Source organism: Homo sapiens, chromosome 6 (genome assembly GCF_000001405.40).
Source record: "Homo sapiens chromosome 6, GRCh38.p14 Primary Assembly".
Classification (NCBI taxonomy): domain Eukaryota; kingdom Metazoa; phylum Chordata; class Mammalia; order Primates; family Hominidae; genus Homo; species Homo sapiens.
In genome coordinates this window covers 167,286,096-167,307,213 of record NC_000006.12, presented here as the reverse complement: position 1 = coordinate 167,307,213, position 21,118 = coordinate 167,286,096, and the positions used below count along the sequence as shown (strand labels likewise).

The 21,118-nt window shown below is 50.1% G+C and overlaps 1 protein-coding gene across 8 annotated transcripts in view, besides 3 other annotated features; it reads right to left on the bottom strand.

Moving 5' to 3' along the window:
• Positions 1-21,118, bottom strand: part of UNC93A (unc-93 homolog A) — a 46,983-nt gene that overhangs the window by 8,801 nt on the left and 17,064 nt on the right. For 5 of the 8 annotated variants that reach the window (XM_017010958.1, XM_011535908.3, XM_011535906.3 and 2 more), the window contains 6 exons: positions 15,638-15,775; positions 12,516-12,697; positions 10,953-11,182; positions 9,144-9,269; positions 3,081-3,295; positions 1,164-1,299 (listed from right to left, as the gene is read on the bottom strand). In XM_017010958.1, coding sequence (XP_016866447.1) covers positions 1,164-1,299; positions 3,081-3,295; positions 9,144-9,269; positions 10,953-11,182; positions 12,516-12,697; positions 15,638-15,724 — 976 coding nt within the window. In that variant the 5' untranslated portion in view covers positions 15,725-15,775. Of the gene's footprint in view, positions 1-1,163; positions 1,300-3,080; positions 3,296-9,143; positions 9,270-10,952; positions 11,183-12,515; positions 12,698-15,637; positions 15,900-21,118 lie in introns of those variants that run through there. The other 3 variants (NM_018974.4, XM_047418901.1, NM_001143947.2) reach the window with 3 other exon arrangements.
• Positions 12,736-13,637: an enhancer, noted in NCBI's record as "H3K4me1 hESC enhancer chr6:167707065-167707966 (GRCh37/hg19 assembly coordinates)". NCBI's record gives its function as "activates a minimal SCP1, AML or CMV promoter by ChIP-STARR-seq in naive and primed H9 embryonic stem cells {active_cell/tissue: H9 hESC(naive and primed)}" and the evidence as "EXISTENCE:reporter gene assay evidence [ECO:0000049][PMID:30033119]".
• Positions 18,299-18,593: an enhancer, noted in NCBI's record as "tiled region #7476; HepG2 Activating DNase unmatched - State 5:Enh". NCBI's record gives its function as "activates a minimal TATA promoter and a strong SV40 promoter by Sharpr-MPRA in HepG2 cells {active_cell/tissue: HepG2}" and the evidence as "EXISTENCE:reporter gene assay evidence [ECO:0000049][PMID:27701403]".
• Positions 19,167-19,675: an enhancer, noted in NCBI's record as "H3K27ac-H3K4me1 hESC enhancer chr6:167701027-167701535 (GRCh37/hg19 assembly coordinates)". NCBI's record gives its function as "activates a minimal SCP1, AML or CMV promoter by ChIP-STARR-seq in naive H9 embryonic stem cells {active_cell/tissue: H9 hESC(naive)}" and the evidence as "EXISTENCE:reporter gene assay evidence [ECO:0000049][PMID:30033119]".

Genomic DNA, 21,118 nt, shown 5'->3' with positions numbered 1-21,118 from the left:
CATGTTGGGAAGGAAGGTCACCCTGTCTGGGCCTGAGGTTGCCCCTAAGCTAAGAGGGTTTAAAGTCAGAAAGAGAAGGGCCTTCTCATTAGGTATAAATTGAAGCATCCCAGCACCTTTCCGAGTAGCCAGGGGGTAGGACAAAGTGTGCCCATGGTTTCATCTGAGCCTTCCAAGTAGGGGCATGGGGACAAAAGGGAGGAGGCCACAGACCCCCCAGGCAGGTAGCATCTGTGGGCCCCACCTTGTGACTCGTCCCAGCAGGTCACAGATTTGGGACCCCAATTTCCACAGGCTGTGGCATCTCTAGGATGCAGTAATGAGGCTGCCCATTGACGCTCAAGACGCCACAGAGGAAGAGCAGGGTCTCTGTCAGCGGAAAGGCAGGTCCACACCGCATGCCCCAGGGCTGTGCCACCTTAGGCAAGTCCCTCCACTTCTGCACTCCATGATCTCCTATTTGTAAGGGAACACTGTCTGCTTCACAGGGCGCCGTGAAGACGGATAGGAAACCCCAGGCAGAGCCTCCAGGCTCCATGGCCCTGGCAGATGCTCACCGTGTGCCCTTCCTCTGGCTGCGCCCCCACACCCAGCCCTGCCTGGGGCATTGACATGCCAGGCGCTGTTTTTCGTAGTGCCTGCATTCCTCATTGTTCACGTGATCTCTGACTCATCTCTTCCCTTCCCTTCCCAAGAAAAATGGAAGGTGCTGTGTGTTTAGGGAGGAGTCTGTGGCCTTAGAAGTCTTGTCCTTATCCACTGTGTGAATAGATGTGGAACAGAGCTGCCCCAACCCCAGCGTGTCTTTCCGTGAACCCCATGGCCTCACCACTGGCTTCGTGTCCCTCATTTGCACCTGCAGAGACCCTGCCCTGCCCCACCCTGGCCTGGTCACCACACCGAGTGCCCACTCGGAGCAGGCACTTGCTGTGTGGCCTCATGCCGAGCACAGTGCCTGCCCAGAGCCAGCTTGGGGAGAGATCTGATTCCTGCTTGTTGAGGGGGTGAAGAAAGGACTGAAAGAATGAATGCATCTTACAGGGCGTTACTGATTTCAAAGCAGTTTCAGGGGCACTTTTCCAGCCTGTCCTGACTGTGAGCTGTGCGCTTTTGCTACTGCAAATCGTTATGACAGCTGGGATGGGACCCACGCTGATACCTACCCAGCACGTACAGCACAGCCCTGCCCGTGTACTGCGAGACCTTTCCATACAACACGGAGCACAGCGCGTCAGTGGCCGAGAAGCAGATCATCACGTAGCCGACGAACTGGATGCCCAGGGTGCAGGTGACATAGGACTGGGGAGAGGGGTGCAGAGCCACGTCATGGACGCTCCCAGGCCTCCCGTGCTCAAGCTAAAGCTGCAGTCGGGTGCTTAGAACATCTGCTCTGAGATGGCCAGCAGGCCAGTGTTGCCTACACCTTCCTCTAGGCTCTGTGGCTCCCATGCAGGAGAAAAGCTGGTGTTTGTAAGAAAATCCTGTTTGGGGAGAACTAAAAGGAGGCAGTTTGGACAACTGCAGACAAAATTCTTTCTCATGTATTTCTCACTATTTGCTGTGAAATGGGCACTATTTTATATGGAAGCCAATACACCCTGCCCTTGCTGGGGCCAATCATTACCTGTTAGGTCTAAAGAGAGTTAAAAAAAAAACAGAGAGAGAAAGAGAAAATGAAAAGATTGCCCTGACACCTCTTCCGGGGCCTCAGAGCAGCCCAGCAGCCGGCTGCACATGTGTCTCATGCCCACCGCACCACACTCCCATCACGGGCGACCTCAAGGGCGGGCACGCAGAACAGGGACTGAGACGAGAAGACCAGCCACAGCCACATCAGGGGGGACAAGGACAAGTCCAGTGGAGGAGCAGGAGGGGCTGTCCCCAAAACGCCAAGTAGACCTTTCTGTTATCCTGTTTCTACTCTTTTAAGCTCCTAAGATTCTCCATCAAGGCTGTCCTAAAAGTAGCACTGCCAGATAAAGTTGAGGACACCCACTATGGCCTGGGCATACTCCTGGAGAGACATTTGTGGTTTATCTGAAATTCAAATTCTACCTGCTGAGGTGCTTTTTATCTTGCTAAGTTGGCAGCCTTGCCTGGGAGGGATCTGGAGCAGAGAAGTTTCCTCCGGAAGGAGAGCCTCTGCCAGACACAGGCCCTTGCTGGTCCAGCTCTGGCCCCCAGCTCTCAACAGCCTCCAGGAGTGGCTTCTTTCTTTATGCACCCTGAGGTGGGGCACCGCCTCTCTCACCTTGAGGGGAGAAGGTGGCAGGAGTGGATGGAGCAGAAGCTTCAAGAGCCACATCGATTTTTAGATTGTGAAGCATGATTTGAAAACTAGAGGTGCCAGGCACAGTGGCTCATGCCTGTAATCCCAGCACTTTGGGAGGCCGAGGCAGGCAGATCACCTGAGGTTGGGAGTTTGAGACCAGCCTGACCAACATGGAGAAACCCTGTCTCTACTAAAAATACAAAATTACCCAGGCGTGGTGGCACACGCCTGTAATCCCAGCTACTTGGGAGGCTGAGGCAGGAGAATCGCTTGAACCTGGGAGGCAGAGGTTGCGGTGAGCTGAGATGGCGCCATTGCACTCCAGCCTGGGCAACAAGAGTGTTACTCCATCTCAAAAAAAGAAAAAAAGAAAGAAAAAAAAAAACTAGAGAGATAAGAAATTTTGGTGGTATTCATGGACTTAATGCTTTTCCTATATGTAAACTCTAAAGTAAGAGTGCAGGGTGAGGTCCAGGCAGGGGTAACACCGATGAGTGTCTGTGGGGTGAGTCAGCGGCAGCTGCCCATCCACTTGTTCCGGCTCCTTCCCCAGGAAGACACGGATCAAGCAAGACGTTCTCCCTTGAGACAAGAAGTGGAAGCTCCTGTGAGTTGGAAGTTACTTGGAGGTTGAGACCTTGAATCATAAACTCAGCTATGGTAGCACTGGGAGCATAGGACCCCGCTCCCTCCAGCCCCAGCCCTGGGCAGGTGGCCTGAGACACTCTGCGGTCCTGCAGGTACAGACACAGGCAAGGCAGTGATGCCACGCATGGCCTGAGCCACCGGCCCTCACTTTCGTTCATACCCTTGTGTATTCGCTGGAGAGGAATCCTTGCTGCAATCCACTGTACAGCGGCAGCAGAATTAAGAGGCACAGACGTTTATCTCTATATAGCTTGAAAGTCGACAGTAAAGTGGACCAGAAAGGTACTGATTTCTTCTCTCCTTCACTTTCCCGCTGAACATCTCGTATGGGTTGGAGGAACGCAGCTATCATCAGGACAGCCAGGACACCACTCCCTGAAAGGACATAGCAAAGGCTTCAGCTTTCATGGGGGCCCAGAGGCAGGGTGCCTGGCAAGGATTTGTTTCAGTCACTCATCCTCCTCTCGCGAGGGAGGGCTAATTCAGATCCAGATTTCAGGCGACATTAGACACAACATGCTTAAGGATCTCAGGTGTCTAGTTGCACTTGATCGTGCTGATTCTCTGATTACCTCAAGACTTACCGGCTTTCACATGAAACCTGCCACAATAGGTCAGTATTGTCCTCACCGGCATAAAATACAAAAAATTCCGGAGCGACCCCAGAAGTTCTGAGTGTCCTTAACCATTGGACTCTGCTTCTCATTCTAATCCCCAACGCAATTTCTAACAGGAGACAGCTTTTTATTGATTTTTTTTTTAGGATAATGATTCCCACAAGGTACCATTTGCTACACTTTTGTTTATTTCAAATAAACAATTTTGTGCAAAAGTCCTCCAATAAGAACTGGTTAAAGATATTAAGGGGTATCTGAACTACAACAGAATGTTGTGCATTTGAAGAAAATAAAAAAGAAGCTCTTTATACACGGATGGGAAAATCCCCCACCATAAATGGTAAAAAGAGAAAAAACAAGCAAGATGCAGACCTCTGTGTAGAGTGCGCTACCAATTGAATTTAGTAAGAAAGGACATAAAGATGTGCTTGTTTATATGTGCATTAAATATGTCTAGGAATAAAGCAGGCATGGACTTTCTATGGGTGCAGAACGGGGTCTGAGGACGGCAGTGAGAGGGAGACTCCCCACCGCACACCCTTTTACAGTGCAGTGCTTGCCCACCCAAAGGGGTTCATTCCAAGGCCCCAGCGGATGCCTGAAACCACGGGTGGTGTCAGACTCTACATGTACCACGGATTTTCACTCTGACAGCAGAGGTGGCTACTGAGAGACTATGGCCCGGGGAGCATCTATGGTGCGGACACGCTGGACAGAGGGAAGGGTCACAGCCTGGGCGGGGTGAGCAGGACGGCAAGAGATTCCATCACACTACTCAGAACAAGCGCAACTTAAACCTTATGAATTATTTATTTCTGGAATTTTCCACTTAAGGTTCTCAGACCGCAGCTAGCCTCAGGTCACTGAAGCCACACAAAATGAAATGGGGACAAGGGGGACTCCTGGATTTGCATTTTGAACTATATAAATGGGTTATCTATACAAAAAAATATTTTAACTATTCATTTCATCCATGAGGAAACATCCTGTACTTTCTCATAATTCCAAAATATGACTAAATCTCCATCTGCCCACCACTTTATTATTTGATCCACCTCAATTTCTGTCGATGGAGAACTGATGTTTATTTAGGCGTTTCTCACTTTACTAGAAGCCCTTTCGTCCCCTCATGATTGTAAGTGCCGTCTGTGATACCATTGCATCTCCACTGTTTTCCTCCCACCTGGCAGTGGTAATGATACACAGTGTTTGGGGCACCACAGATGACTCAAGAGTGGTGGCGATCCTTCCCTTCTCTCTGGGCCAGAATCTTTCAGAACGGTTCATTTCTACCTCCGAGAACTTAGACCCCTGCTCCTCTAAAGACGACGGGAATTATCCTATCTTACTGTGCCTGACCAACCTTATCTAGTGCTTTCTCTCTCAGCATCAGTGTCCTCGTGTGACCCATGCAGTGGACTTGCTGCAGCACTGTGCCCGGCAGCTGAGCGTTCCTGAAACTGGGAGGTTTGCAAAGCCAGCTCTCTTCCAAGCTGTGTGCAGAAACAGCAGAATCCTAGCACCTGTCTCAGAAAGCACCATTGGTAATGTGGTTCCACCTAGAAATGCAGATTTATTTCTAGGCTTTACTTTCCGTTATCTGGCTACTTTCCATCTTGGCTAAACATATTCCCCTTCCTATTTCATAACTCAAGATTCTCATGAAGTTTGTGAAATTTCGTATGAAAGCAGGACTCCTGCTGCCACAGGTGTTTCTTGGTCACCCTTGATTTTCCTCTGTGTTGTCCTGGCCACCATGTGGTCTGGCAGGTTGTCACGCCTGCACAGGAGGCCATAGGGTATTTACAATGATCAGGGCCCCCTTCCAAGCCGACCCCCTGAGCTGACTGTGTGTAGACCATGTGGAAAAGGCACATTTTTCCTCCACTCACTGAAGGCAGCGCCTTCTTCACAATCTCGTCTTGTGGGCCAGGACTTCAGTGTCAAGCAGCCCAATAGGACACAACCTACAATCTCCCCGAAAGCCTTGTGGGAAGGGGAGAGGCAGGTTATGAACACAGAAGCCACACCCCTTTGTTCAGAATTATGTATGTCCGGGTGTCATGTGACTCAGAGCCTTCTGTGGGGCATGAATTGGGGGATGCTGCACAGCTGTGTCCTAAATTCTAAAGAGAATGGCTCTTTGCAAGAAACTTGACTATGAATGCAATGCTCAGAAACCCAGGAAAGTTACCCAGGGAGAGGGTGTTCTTGTTCTTTTAGGTCCATTTTTCTCTCTTCCTATGTTTTTCTTTATGGAGACATGGTCTTGCTTTATAGAAAAGGACACACACAGGATCCTGCAGGACTGTTACAATCACAATAGTAAGACCACTTCTTCATTTACATGTGTGTGATCTCTGCTCTACATAACTTCTAGACTTGGACTCCCTTAGGCTGCGGGATTCCGTGAACCGAGATGGGGCTGTGGCCAGAGAGCACACTGGGGGTAACCCTGCAGGGGAGGTTCCACAGACAACAGCCACCTGCGGAGGACAGCTGGCAATGAAGGGCCTGGAAGCCACAGAGAAGCCTGTGCTGTTCCTCTAGAGCAGGGGCCAGCAAACTATGGCCTGCGGGCCAAAGCCTGCCCACTGCCTGCTTTTGAAAATAAAGTTTTATTGGCATGCAGGCATGCTCATTTGCTTACATGTTGTCTATGGCTTTTTCCCATTACAAAGACAATGTTGAACAATTGCAACAAGGACCATATGATCCTCAGAAAGATACTTACATGTAGGAATATTTGCTGTCAGCCCTTCACAGAGGAAGGCTGCAGCCCCCACTCCAAAATTCTGTTCTTTTATAGATAGGAGAAGTCTTTGTTGGTGGCTGCCTAACTGGAATTTGTGGAGCTGGAAGGAGACCTGATGGTCTTGACTCAGCTCAATGTCCCCGAGTCCCCCAGCCTCCTAGTTATGTAGAGGAGGTGGTGAGGGGAAGTGTTGGGGAAGCACAGGCCTGGCTGGTCCCTGGGACCATGTTGATGGGAACCTTGGGGCCTGCTGGGAAAACATGACCACAATTCCAAGTCAGCAGAGACTTGCAGACCAGAGAAAACCGTGGCTCCTCCTGACTCCCTGTCCACACCTTCCACTCACTTCTGAAACCCTCAGTCTGGGCCTTGCACACGAGCACCCTCCCCAGGTTGCTCGCCTGATGGGCATCAACAGCCTCTCACTGGCTAAGAGCCTCGTCCAGCCTCCCCCCTGAGCCTCCTAGGGGCCCTGCCACACTCAACACTCTCAAACCCCCTCCCCAGCTGATTCTACAACCCTGGTGTCCTCCAAGACCCTGGTTTGGTTTTCTGTCTCCTTCCAAGGCTCCAGTTGTCTGCCTGGCCCTCAGTGTTGCTGAACCAGGGGTCCAGCTATACTCCCTTCTCTGTAACAATTCCCTCTGCTTTTTCTCCCTAAGAGCCTCATCCCTGACATGATTCCAGTCACCATGTTGGAAGATGCCTCCACGTCCACACTTGCATTGGCCTCTGGCCTGAGCCCTGCACGGCGTCAGACTGCCCACTGGACACTATGCAAGAGTCCCACTGCGTCCTCAAGCCAGGTGTTCCCGGCCTGAGCTCATCTTCCTGTCAACCCCAGGGCTGTCTTCTCTTCCCCACACCATGTCCAACCCACACGGACCCTGCTGGCCTCTCTCTCAGCCCCTCCATCTCTGCCTCCCCGTACCTGCTCCCTCCTCTGGACTCAGCACTCCGTCCTCAGTGGGTCTCTGCCCGCTGTCTCTCTGCACCTCTAAGTCACGCTGGCATGGGGTCTGTCAAGAAGGCAAGTCTGCACTCGTCCAGACCCTTTGGCACAACATCAAGGGCCACAGCTAGTCTTGTGCCCCATTTCTGCCCCTCCACCTTGCCCCCAGCCCTGCGGGCTCTTCCTGGACATCTCGCCTCCAGGGACTTCAGCATCACTTCCCTGCCTGGCCAAATCTTGCTCATTGTCCAGACTCGGCTTAGGGACCACCCGCCCTTGGAGGCTTTCCTGAAACTCCGTGCTCCAGGGAGATGCAGCTGCAAGTCAGCTGGGAACTGTGCTCAGAACACTGTCGGACTGGTCTCGGTTAGTTGGGTGTGTGTCTGCCTCCTTCACTAGGCTCTCAGCTTACTAAAGGCGAGCTTCTAGTCATCTGAATGTCTGGACCAAGAAGGCCTAGCATGGCCTAGCACGTGCTCAGTACACTTTGTCGACTTCCAGCGATAGCTTTACAAGTGCTCACTCAGAGCCTCTGATGTGGAAGTGGCCTGAGGGGACCTGAGGTTGGTGCCGCACATCATCTCAGCATGAGGAAAAGCTCTGCAGTGCCCACGAACCCTCCTCACCTCTGACCCCGGCAGAGTGCAGGAGTTGGTACCCCCAGAGCTCACAGGTGCCAGGCCTTTGATCTTTAAGAAGGACCCATTCCAAGGCCTTTATGAATCCCCAAATCCAAGAATGACAAAGAATATATATATATATATATACATATAGAAATATATACGTGTATATGTATATGTACATGCATATATAAATATGTGTGTGTGTGTGTGTGTGTATTTTTTTTTTTTTGAGATGGAGTCTCGCTCTGTTGCCCAGGCTGGAGTGCAGCAGCGCGATCTTGGCTCACTGCAACCTCCACCTCCCGGGTTCAAGTGATTCTCCTGCCTCAGCCCCCCGAGTAGCTGGGATAACAGGCATATGCCACCATGCTCGCTCAGCTAATTTTTGTATTTTTAGTGCAAATGGGGTTTCACCATGTTGGCCAGGCTGGTCTCGAACTCCTGACCTCAAGTGATCTGCCCGCCTCAGCCTCCCAAAGTGCTGAGATTACAGGTGTGAGCCACCATGCCCAGCCAAAAAAAAAAATATTTAAATTATTTACAAAATGGTTTTTAAAACTCTCTAAATGTATCCCCTTCAAAGTTGTAATAAACCTTTGACTATAACACTGAAGTCACATATGAAACTATTACATAACATTCTCTATTAAAATGAACTTCTAAGAATGAGCCTCGTCATGACAATTAACTTCCTTTGGGCAGCCCTTTCACCATGAGCTTGCAACGTCTCCAGCTAAGGTGCAACAAGCACTTGGGAGCACTCGCCCCTCTAGCCTTTCCACAGAAGGTACTCAGCACATTTCTCAGAAAAAAAAAAAAAAGTGGCTTATAGCAATTATGGATGTTCAGGGCCCCTTGGCCACAGCTGAAACACAAACAGTCAATCCCAGTGCCCTAGCCAGCCACCAAGCTGTCTGTAATGGTAGCCGCCAGCCCCCGTACTGCTGAGCACTTGCAGTGTGGCTGGGAGACTTAGGAACTGAAACTTTAATCAGTTAAGATGTAAACAACCACAGTGCTTAATGGCTGCTGTGTTGGGCTCTGGAGATGTATAACAATCTCATCACCCCAGGATCCTCTGTTAGACAGCACGGGTGTACTGCATTTGATTCATAAGAACACCGCCTGCATATAATCCAGACCAATACATTTTGCAAGGATATTTCAGAAGAAGAGAGATTACTTTTACATTGGGAGAGACAGTCTTTGTCAGCCCAGGAAGGAGGCTTGGCTCTGCTTTGCTAGGGACCCTGCCCTGGGCCGATGGAGCTCGTACCAGTGTAGATGCCCAGGAGGGTGTAGACCAGCTGCTGGGAGGGCCTCTGGGTGCTGTTGGTGGTTGTGGTGGCCATCAGGCAGTCACTGGCCCCACAGGACGTGAGCTGCTCTTCTGGAAGGGTCTCTATGAAGTCAGAGTGGACAGGAGACATGAGATGACGGCAAATGTGACAAGATGTAGGTTCTTGAGAAATCAAAGTGACAGTGGAAAGGACATTGGACACCTGGGGGGAGGCATCACTACAGGTCACGTGGAAAGACCCAGTGTCTCAAAATAGATTTAGATCGAGTCTAGGCACATGTCCCTAGACTCGATTTAAGACACTTTGGGAGGTGGAAAATCCTATTCGTGTTCTGCAAAGATTCAGGGAAGAATGAACTTGGAAAAGTGCTGGTTACTTGTTTTACTGCTTTTCTGACATAATTAAAATTTTTCAAGTTTTCAAAATTAGTCAAAAAGAAAAAAGTACATGAGATTGGGTGCCAGGAATGCTGGATTCTCTTTCAGATTCATCTGTTACCAACTCAATGACTTTGGGCAGGTGATTTCATAACTTTTCTGTTTTTGAAAACTAACGTTAGTTCTGTGATCTCTTAGAAAAATACAATTTGAATTAGCAATGACTCTCAGTCAGAAGTCCTGTCAGAATCTCTGGGGAAAGGAGAAAGATGTGGTGGGAGAAAGAATATTCAGTGTTTTTATTATTTTAATAACACAAATTATATAACAGACAGCTTCACAAAATCTTCTAGGTGGGTGAGATGTGCAGCTGATAAGAGAAGGTACAAGAAGGTGGAGAAGCACACGACGCCCTCCAAATCCCTCCAGCCCCAGATTCTGTGTCCTGTGCTGACTTGGAGAACTAACTCACCTGCAGAAAGGTCTTCGAAAGAAATGCCTGTTCCTCCACTTCACTGGCCGTGATATGCAGACTGAGCTGTAACCCCAGTTTCTGTTTCATTGTTGCTGACACCAACAGCAATAATGAGTAAAAATTGCTATGCATCACCTTCACGGCTTCCCTTCTTCAAATGCACTTAGCAGGCATGACATCGCATGAGAAAAAGGGAGAGGGGTTTTGGCTACAGAGTTTACCAAGCGTGGGATTTTTATGGGATAGCAAGATGGAGAACCTTGATGAAGTGATAGAAATAGTTGTGATACTAGTCAGGAGGGCTGGATTGGTTTTTACCCCGTTGGGAAAGTTTTCCTGTAAGCATGAAAGAGATGTATGTCCTCTGCCCTGTGCTTAAAGCCTCAACGTGGGCACTAAGGTCATGGGCACAAATGAGATATGCACTTTATATTTATACCAGGGCAAGGTCGGGTAGAGACAGAGGAGCCAGGGCATCAGCCCATCCAATGTCCACATCTGTCATGGGATAAGGGGCCTGTCATAAAACATTTGAAAATCTGGTCATTGTATCAAGTCACAGGGAAAAGAAATCAGGCAACCCCATCCTTAGTCTAAAAAGGACAGTTGTGCAGTTGAGACTCCATGAACACAAATTCTACTGGCGTGGCCCTCAGTTTCCCATGGCGCCCTCTCCCAAGGGCTCCCCTGCCCCTGCGGAGGCACCTGTGGAAGACGCAGATCTTCTTCAGTCCCACCCGACTGTCCAGAAGACAGCAGGTAACAGGCAACTCTGAAGCACAGGCAGGTTGAGAATCTCACCTGTGGGGCCTGACTCACCTGCTCAAGTTACAGAATCAAGGCAGGTGTGCAACTGAAATCAGGAACCCTCTCCCCCATCACTGAAACCCCTGCTCCACTTGGAGACAATTGCTTGCCCCTTTTCCTTTTACCTTGGCTGGGAGTCTGGCCAAATACCAGCGATGAGATCAAGTTGCCCCACACACCGGATGACTGGAATATGAGGAAGAAGATGCCAAAATACTGGTTCACCATGTCTTTGCCACGCTTTCCCGCCTTCTCTGCATGTGTGTTTCCCGTGATCGTGAGGTATGTGCACTGTGCAGACCACAGCGGGGCGGCCCCGAGTCCCAGCAGTATGGAGGTGGGGATCAAAGTGTACCTGTGGGTAAAATGCAGACCCATAGCCTGTAACAGGAGACGCAAGCCCATTGCACCCATGTCCCTGCAGTTCTTTAGTCAATCTGGGAGAAGGAACCACCGCCTGGCCCATTGCAAGCGTGGTGATGAGTGTTGCTGGTTGGATGGATGGATTCACCATTACACTCAGAAAAATGAGCAATATCAGTGCATTTCCTAGCTTGGACTGATTTGCAAAAGTGAAATTGAAGCCAGTGAGGCTCCTTGTATCGGATGCGATTGCAAACAACAAGGTGAGGAGCACGAGGGAGGCGAGGAGCACGAGGAAGGCGAGGAGCACGAGGGAGGCGAGGAGCACGAGGCAGGCGAGGAGCACGAGGCAGGCGAGGATCACGAGGGAGGCGAGGAGCACGAGGCAGGCGAGGAGCACGAGGGAGGCGAGGAGCACGAGGGAGGCGAGGAGCACGAGGCAGGCGAGGATCACGAGGGAGGCGAGGAGCACGAGGGAGGCGAGGAGCACGAGGCAGGCGAGGAGCACGAGGCAGGCGAGGATCACGAGGGAGGCGAGGTTCACGAGGGAGGCGAGGAGCACGAGGGAGGCGAGGAGCACGAGGGAGGCCGAGGATCACGAGGGAGGCGAGGAGCACGAGGGAGGCGAGGAGCACGAGGGAGGCCGAGGGACAGCCCCGGTTAAAAAGACCTAGTGACCGGCTCGGGCCTCAGCGGCGGCATGCCATGTAAGACTCTGCAGCTACCGGGAAGAAGGACTTGCAGCCATCATCAGCAGCATGTCCTGGCACAACCAGGGTCCCTGGAAGAGATGCTCCATGGCTGTGTTCCCGGGGCCTGGGGTGCAGGCCAAAGCCCTCAGAGCTCAGTCTCTGTGGTCCATCTCACCAGGGAGCAGGGTGGCCTCCCATCCCTGTGACCTGCCCTGGCCATACCCACCTCCTAATGGTGGGCGAGGTGCAGCTTTCGGTCCATTGGTGACATCTGCCTAGGTGCCCACGAGACTCACCATCTGCATTGCAGTTAGAGTCCCCTGTGTTACTGGAACCCTCGCCCAGCCAGGGGAGCTGAGGACCAGGACGGATCCCAGGGAGAGGCCAGCATCGGGGATCGGGAGGAGGAGACAGAAGCAGTGGGGGGCACAGAGGAGCCTTGGTGGGAAAACAGGAAGGAAGCCCAGCACCGTCTGTCACCAAAGCGAGGCGGGGGTGCAGGGGCAGGAGAGCTCATTTTAAAATGCCTGCAGTGAACAGTAATCAGGTGCAAATGCAACTCATGTGCAGAGTGAACGTCCCTAGCGTGGGGAACGGCCGGGGTGGGGTGGGCAGGGGGTGGTGGCTGCGTACCAGCTGGCGAAGAAGTTGCCCACGGAGAAGGCCACGTAGCCACACATGGAGAGGATGATGGTCCCCTTGCAGCCCAGCCTCTCGATGAGGAGCGGTGGGAGGAACATGGAGGACAGGAGCATGCCTCCATAGAGGGTGCTGAGCGCTGTGACACCCAGGCCCTCCTCGCTGTACAGGCTGCTCTGTGGGAACAAAGCCAGCCCTGTCAGAGCACAGGATGGACACAGCGGGATGAGGCACCAGCAGGTCCTCAGTGTCCCCCAGGCTGGAGGCCGCCACAGCTCCCAGGAACCGCCAGCCACAGGCTTGCTGCCCTGGGAGCCTCCTCTGAAGCTGGTGGGAGAAAAGTGCAGGTGAATTCGGAATAAAGCAGTTAGTGTGTCTAAACATCAGGGAGTGAAGGCCCGGCACCCCTGTGAGTGCTTGCGCCGGGGCTGGATGGCTGTGAGAGCCGCTCACGCCTCTGTGGACACCTGCCTGAATCTCAGCTGAGAACAGGACAGTGTGACAGGATGGGGCTGGAGACTCTGCCAGAACTCATCTGTGAGGAGCCTGCGTGCTCCCAGGGAATGTAAGGGGTCCTTCAGCCCATGGGGAGGCCCGAAGGATATGAAGCAGCTGAGTGCACATGAATGATTTCTTCCTTCACCAAATATCCATCGCCCGCCTCCGAGTGCCCGTCACTGTCTAAGGTTTGAGAATGGACCAGGGACGTGGCCCTCGTATCCTGGAAACTGCAGGCCGCCACCACTGGTGGAGACAACCCGGGCAGGCACACACCGCCACGAGGGTGCTGGGTGCCCCATCCAGACCTCAGCTCCAGGGCAGGGTGGGGAGAAGGAGGTGACCTCCAAGTTGAGAGCTGAATGAGAACTTGGAGGCCTGCAGCCAGAAAGGGTGAAAGGAGGTGGTGGCTACAGGGGGAGGTGCCACAAAAGAGCGTCCTTTGTCCTTGGACGAGGGGACCTAGTCCAGACCAGGGTGAGGACTCAGGAGAACTCTCTGGAATGAGGCCCTGTCTTCTCACTGGGGCTGCTGAGCTCTGAGGAGGGAGCCTGGGGATGCATGTGCCTTGTTGGGGCCTGAGAGCGAAGCCAACCCCATAGTAGCCTTGGGGTTCTTGGAGAGAGGTGGGCTCGGCTCCTCAGCATGCTGGGGCAAAACCAATCCTGAGTCACTTCTATCTGAACACTCTGTGTTGCCCATGCCAGTCCTGAGTAGCAGAGACAGCTGTCCCAGTTAGAGGGTTAAAGCACGTCCGCATGCTCAAGGTCAGCTGCCGACAATAGGCCCGGGTGGGGCCTCGAACCAGGGTGGAGCTGGAGTGGAGGGGACCCTTCCACAGTCCTGGGGCCCTGCAGAGAGGGAGGTCTGGCTCCCCTGCATCTCCAGTCTTTTGAGAAGGAAGGGCTGACATCATGAGACAGCAGCTCCCACTTCCACCAGCCCAGGAGGAGTGGGAAGTGCTGGCGGGGCGTGGGACAATCTACTCCCCAGGCAGCTGCTCACAGCTGCGGAGCTCATCCAGATGCCACCATGAGTGATTCCCCAATGAGGCACCCCCAAACTGGGGCTGAAGAGGCAAAGGGTTGTCTGCCCGCATTTGCCCACAGCCTTGGGTCCTGCCGTCACAGCCTGAGAGGAGGGACCCCTGGCAGCTCCCAGCCCCCTCCAGCCCCCTTCCTCTGGCTTCCAAGTCCAGAGGCCAATTTTCAGACAGTGGCTGAGCCACAGCGGATCCACCAGAACTGGTTCCTAGGAATGCTGACCCCAGGGGAGCTGTCGGTTCCTAGGAATGCTGACCCCAGGGGAGCTGCTGTGCCAGGAGGACAGCAGGGTCTCCTTCTGCAGGCAGGTGAGCTTTCTAAAGAGAAAGGGCTACTGACCAGTCCACATCCTTGAGACTCCCTCCTTCCAGAAAGTGCACACCAACCACATTCAACATGCACTCACCTCAACCCAACAGGCATTTCACTCACACCAGCATTCTGTGACAACAACACAAAGTTCTGGGCAAAGCAGGGACTCCAAAAGTAATGAACCATTGCGGCAAGAAAAGAGACTGTGTTCCCTTCCACTTGACTTTGAGAGTCACTGTTGGCTGCCATTTTATCCTCTGTAAGCCTGATCAGAAATAGAACCAGATAGGAGTTCAGCAAAAGGAAACATTACTTGAGAATTCAGGACTGAATTCCAGCTTCCTTGGCAACCCAGGAGTCCCAAGTGTTTGCACAACAACAGTGAGAGGAGAAACCTCGGATTCTGAGTTCCCAGGTGTGCTTTTCTGGTTCCATACTATGCACACAGTAGGTGCCCAATTCTTATTCTTCATTGACGAACCATGTAAGACCACACTAATTTGTCATCAGAAGCTCTGAAATGTTTTATGTGACCACACCAGGCCACAGGGTACAACACTGTGGCAATGAATAAGCCGGGGGAGTAACAATAGCCCTGCTTCCTGACCAGCCCTTGGAATTCCCTGGAATTCAGACTGGAATCCAGGTAAAGATCAGACTTGAAATGTAACCAGCTTGGGAAAATGTGTCAGGTCTATGTCTAGGTGCACATGATGAATGCTGCAGCCTTTCGGAGAATGCCGTTTGGCTTTTTCATGGGCTCACGGAACTATGGAGGAGAGCATGCCATAAGGAGTTCAAAGTATAGAGAGATCATGTTGTCAAAGTTCACAGTTTAGCTTAGAGTAGGCTTGGAATGTATAAGGTCTAGTGACATTTGATAAATTCACATGGCTGCCCCTAACCACAAAGCCAAGGGCATCCAATCAATCATAGAATTCACAATGACTTTTCCTGTGTCTCCTTTTAACCACCCAAAGGCAAAGAATGTCCCAACAAATCACAGTCCCAAGACCCCTGCTGTCCTTGTCCAAGAGCAACGTGCACCTCGCTGTTGTGCAATCCTATTGAGACGTGAGTGGGAACTGCTCACTGTAGGACTGCATCTGAGAACCACTGTTTGTTTTAGAGGATTTGGTACAGAGTGAAAAAGAAACACCAGGTGAATTAGATTTTTCAAATTTCCAATTCATTATTGTCTGTGACCACAGGGATTCTTGGAGGCCAAGAAGTTCAGGTAATTTGATGACCGGACACACATACCTGCAGGCTCTGCAGACCTCCATAGGCTGTAAAGAGAAGCAGGAACCCAAAGGAAACCACAAGGACGTTCCTTAGACTTCTGTCCATTGTGCTGGATGAAAAGATCAATCACCAGTGAACACGTAAATTTGTAGCTCCCTAAAAGAAACCAATTGAGGCATGGGAAAAACAATCAGTACCAAGAAGTCCCATTCTCTCTCTCATCTGAGCTAGAGGTGAAATGTTAGAGGTGTGTTAGTCATTAAGACTGTCACTCGTTAATGAACTTGGTTATCACTGACCCCATGAAGCATACGGGAGCTCTGTTACTCATTTACCTTCTCTGTGATCCACAATGTCCACTTTGTATGGGGCAAAAGATCATTACTCTTACCAGCTTCTAGTTAATTGCGCTTTTTTCCTATTAAATTCTAATAGACATGGTCCAGATGGTAAAGTGATATGTTTCACTTTTTATGTGTATATAGAATAGAACCTTCCACAGTAAGAGAAACTGTCAGAAGTTGTCAGTGGTGCAGAATGAGGACTTCAGTCTTAAAGAACAAAGCATAAATGTCAACTTCAAGACACATAGTTCAACTTCTGAAAAAGAGCTAACGTGATTGTAAGATCCTGGGGCCAAAGTCTTAGTATTGCAAAGACTGTACAGTTTCACAACACAGTACAGCAATTATTAAAAGAAAAAACAACTTACATGAGTATAGTACTTTACAATATGCAAAGAATTTCATGCATTATTTCATGTTACCAACAATAGTGCTATGCTAATGATCATTAGAAATCTTAGACCCATTATAAGACAGGAAACAGCTTCAGAAAAGTTAAATGATTTGGTATTTTGGTCTGGGGCAGTGTTGTCCAGTATGGTAGCCACTCGCCACATGTGACTATTGAGTTCTGAAATGTGGCAAGTGCAACTGATAAAATGAGTTCACAACTGCATCTCCTTTTAGTTAATTACAATTAAAATTTAACCACATGTGGCTAGAGACAACTGTATTAGACGGGGTAAGTCTGGAGCTTTAAGCAACTTACCACAAATGTCATAGCTAATAAGCAAGAAAAATTATTTTTATTCAATTATAAGTAAAACTTGATGTCTGCAGATTGTTTCCAAAGTTCTGTGAAGTCAGCCATTTCTGTCTAGATTAGATCTATAAGGCAAATCTCGCAGGTAAGTCTAGCATCCTGGCAACACTACTCAGGGAAGCTTGCCAGACCATCAGAAGATCAGGGCCAATGATAAATGGGGTAAAGTTCTTGTCACTTAATGTATTTCAGTGAAAATGAAAGTTTTATGAAAACAATAGCTTTTTATATTAACTAAACATGGACTATCATGCTTACATAGACATAAGAGCCACGCAGTCTAGCAAAGGGATTCTGAGCATGGAAACAGATGAGCTCCACGGGTTCACACCCTAATCCTGTAATTTGTTAGCTAGGTGATCTCAGGTGGGTCACTGAGTCACCGAACCTGTTTCCTCTTTAAAAAGGAGGGTTGCAAAAGTTCAAGACTTGGATAATTTTGAAAGCCCCTAGAACAGCACCCGATATATAGCAAAAATGTTAACTTCAAGATACATATATGGTTCAACTTCACCAATAAATGTTATCACCAATAAATGTTAATTGACTAAGATGATATTTTGACTTTCAGAGACAATACAAATTAGAATAATATGTAAAGAAATTAGCATAATGTGGACTTCTTCATACTAACCGTGTTATCGATCAATCAACTTGGACCTTATTTTTATTTTTTGGCAACACTTTAGTTTACTTCAGTTCTGGCCTCTCATTAGTTCCCATGGATGACCTGTATTTTGATATTAGAGGACCTTCCTGATGTTTTATTGCACTGTCTGCTGGTCTTTCTCCCTTGGTTGCTTCAACTCACCAGCCCCATCCTCTAGGACTCGCTCTCTGGCTCTGGGGGCTGTTTCCAGAGGCTGCTCTTCCCCTCCCCTTCACCAGCCTATGCCTTCTAAGGAGCTTCCCTTTGTGCACAAATAAACCTGGTCTGTTTCCATCCTTCCCAGCCACACCCTCCCTGTCCCTCCAGCACTTCTACTAGGATTGAATTTCTGAAACCATGGCTTCAGTTACGTCTGCTTTTTCTCTCTTTTCCTCCCAGTTCCTCCCCTTTATCTATGTTAAAAGGGATTTTTTTTAAATGAACAGTATATTTCACTCTCTGCCTTTTCTCTGTAGCAGAATAAAATGCTTCTCTTAGAGGAGATAATTCCCAGCACCCCTCAGTGTTCCTGTGACCAGGGCAGGTCTTAGACATGGTCCCCCAGTGGTCTCGTCATAAACAAAGGGACACTCTTATCTTACCCGACCCCTGAGGCTGCCTTCCCGCAGCCTACACATTCCTGCAGACATGGAGTTGCCTGAGGGAAGAGAGTGCAACCTCTAGAAACCCAGAGCTGGCTTGGCTCTCAGAGCTGGTTTTGGCGTTATGAGCTCTGTGTGTGCACTGGAGCCATGGCCTGGCCCAGGGCTGACCTGCCAAAGGCCAAAGACGGGTACGTGTAAAGGATTTAAAAGGTGTCAATAGCCACTTCAGTCCTTAAAATTAACATCTGGGCTCTATCAGCTTGAGAAAAGAGGTGGTTCTGTAGATCTGCTCGAATCTGCAGGTCACTCATTGGACGTTAAAATGACAGATGCCCTGGGTGATACAAAGCTCAGAGCACGCGTGTTCCGGAAAACCGAGACTTCACCAGCCACTAGATGGCACCGTTTTGCTACGGCTGAGTTCACCACAGGCGCCATGCGTTCTTCATGCTGTAGAATCACCTTGTAAATCACCAAACTTCCTGCCAAGAATCTAAAGATTAATTTAAGGGAAGTCTACCCAATGGTTTGCTTTTTTAAGGAATGTACTCATGTAAGCAAATTAATATCAATTTTCTTGACATTTACATCTGAAATCTTTGTTAATAAAAGCAATACCAAATAAACTCAAATGTATCTTACATCTTTTTATCCACATAAAGATGAAGAAGGTATCTATAGGGAGTAGAATGAGTTCTTGGCTACTTTAGGGAATTTCACACTTTGGAAATAAATGTACTCATGCTGTGTGTGTGTGTGTGTGTGTGTGTGTGTGTGTGTGTGTAAGGAAGAACAATTTGTGCTAACACAACCATGGCTTGAGAGAGTATTTTCTCTTAGCAAATGTTCCAAAGCATCTTAAATCTTGGCGGGGGCTGACCACTCCGCCTTCCCCTGGCTAGACAGGCCACCTCCTGAGCTGAGCGGGCATTCGGGGCTCTGGCTTCTTCCTCGGCCAAGGAGAACCCAGAGAGCCAATCAGAGAAAAAGCTTTGGGGCCAGTTGGCTATGTCAGGCCCTCAGCCAAGACCCTTAGCTAATTTCCATTACTTATCAGAGAGGGCAGAGACCCATCGTGTGGCAAGCCTGGCTGGAAATACTCCCATCCTCACACCATTTGTGAATCCTCCCAGCTTCCACGGTGTGGTTAAAGCTGCTGGTGATGTCCTGGGATTCTGGGTCTTTCTCTCAGCCCACGTCTCCACCTGGGACATGTGAGTGGCCTGACCACCCAGCCAAGACCGTCAAGGGCCTGCAGGGTCCCTGAACAACAGCATCTGATTGGGCTAAGGCACCCTCATTTTGCACCAGAATGAAGGAGAGCAGCAGCTCTGTGATTGATCACCGTCTTCCACTCTCCCTGTCAGGGCGGCAACGCTAGGTGAGCCCGAGTGCGGAGAATCTGGCCTGTTCCACTCTCATAGTCAGGGGGATCGTGTAGGTCCTGGTTCAGAACACACTCATGTGCACAGTGCACACACACACACACACGCATGCACACACGCATGCACACACACACATATGCACACACATGCACACACACACACACCCTTTTTATTTTCCAAGTTCGTAGGTCCTTTTCCTTTCCCATGAGCCCTCTGCAGCCTGGGATACAGCACCCACTTCTACAGTCGTCCACACTATTTATTGAGCGTCTACCCTGGGCCAGGCATCCTTCCTAATGTACTGGGGTACCACACTGATAAAAGGGCCAGGGGTCTCCATTCTCACAGAAGCCTAGTTCTAGTGGAGGAACCAAACAGTGAACAACTAAGCAAAATAGAGAACTGAAATTCCCATGGAGAGAAGAAGTGCGATCCCAAAACTAGAGCAGGTGGGACGATAGGGAGTATGGGGTGGTACACACGCTATCCACACCCCATCTCCACACGGGCGGCAGAGCAGTGTCCAGCTTTGGAGAGAGCAGCTCGGCTGGACCCAAGCATCACCAGGTCTGCAGCTCAGCAGCCGTTTCTATGAACCCTGCAAACTGGAGCAAGTGGCACTTTGGGTGGAAAAGATCCAGCTGAGTGCAGCGAGCAGTGGAGGAAGCCGGGCTGTGATTGGACAGCTGAGGGCCAAGTATGGCTATGATTGGACAGCTGAGAGCCAAATACGGCTGTGATTGGATAGCCGAGGAAGCCGGGCTGTGATTGTACAGCCGAGAGCCAACCACTTACATGTCTTCTAAGCCTGGATGAGGGGCAGAAAGTGCTGATTATGCTGGAATTTTTTTTTTTTTTTTTTTTTTTTTTTGAGACAGAGTCTTGCTCTGTCGCCCAGGCTGGAGTGCAGTGGCGCGATCTTGGCTCACTGCAACATCCGCCTCCCGGGTTCAAGCAATTCTCCTGCCTCAGCCTCCCGAGTAGCTGGGATTACAGGCACCCGCCACCACACCCAGCTAATTTTTTGTATTTCAGTAGAGACGGGGTTTCACCGTGTTGCCCAGGCTGGTCACGAACTCTTGAGCTCAGGCAATCCGCCCGCCTCGGCCTCCCAAAGTGCTGGGATTAAAGACTTGAGCCACAGCACCCGGCTGATGCTTGAATTTTCTAGGTATTTTTTCTATCAATTATTTTTGTCTATACAGACAAAGATACAGTGATGGGAAATTACGCCCAAAAATCTCCAAAGATAATTTCGTGCCTTTGCTCTCACAACCACAAACATCCATACAATTTGAACTTTGTCCCCAAGCGAGATAATGCCATCCTGGGTGACGTGACCTATTTGCAGTCCCTTCGCTCCAGCCGCTATTGCAGCGCGTGGCTTCTAAAATCTCAGCGAGTGTCAGCAGGTGAGACTGAGGCATTTTCCCCGTTTGTTTCCAGCTACGATGCAATGACCGCCTCTTTTCAGTGGTCCCTTGAGAAGCCACTGTGCCGCTTCTTCCCGCTCAGCGGGCGGTAAGGCCTGTATGTGCAGTGTGGGTCTCTCAGCAGCTGCTCCTGCTGGAAACTTCTCCACTGTCTTTGGAAAGGGTTTGCTGGAAAGCTATAGACAGACAGACTGGAAAGGTACTCGATATGATGAAGGGAGAACATCTTATAAAGACAAGCATTGAAGGTTATTGCTTAAGTTTTGACTAAAAATGCATATACACATTTTGTATATATGCATGTCCATATATACATATGT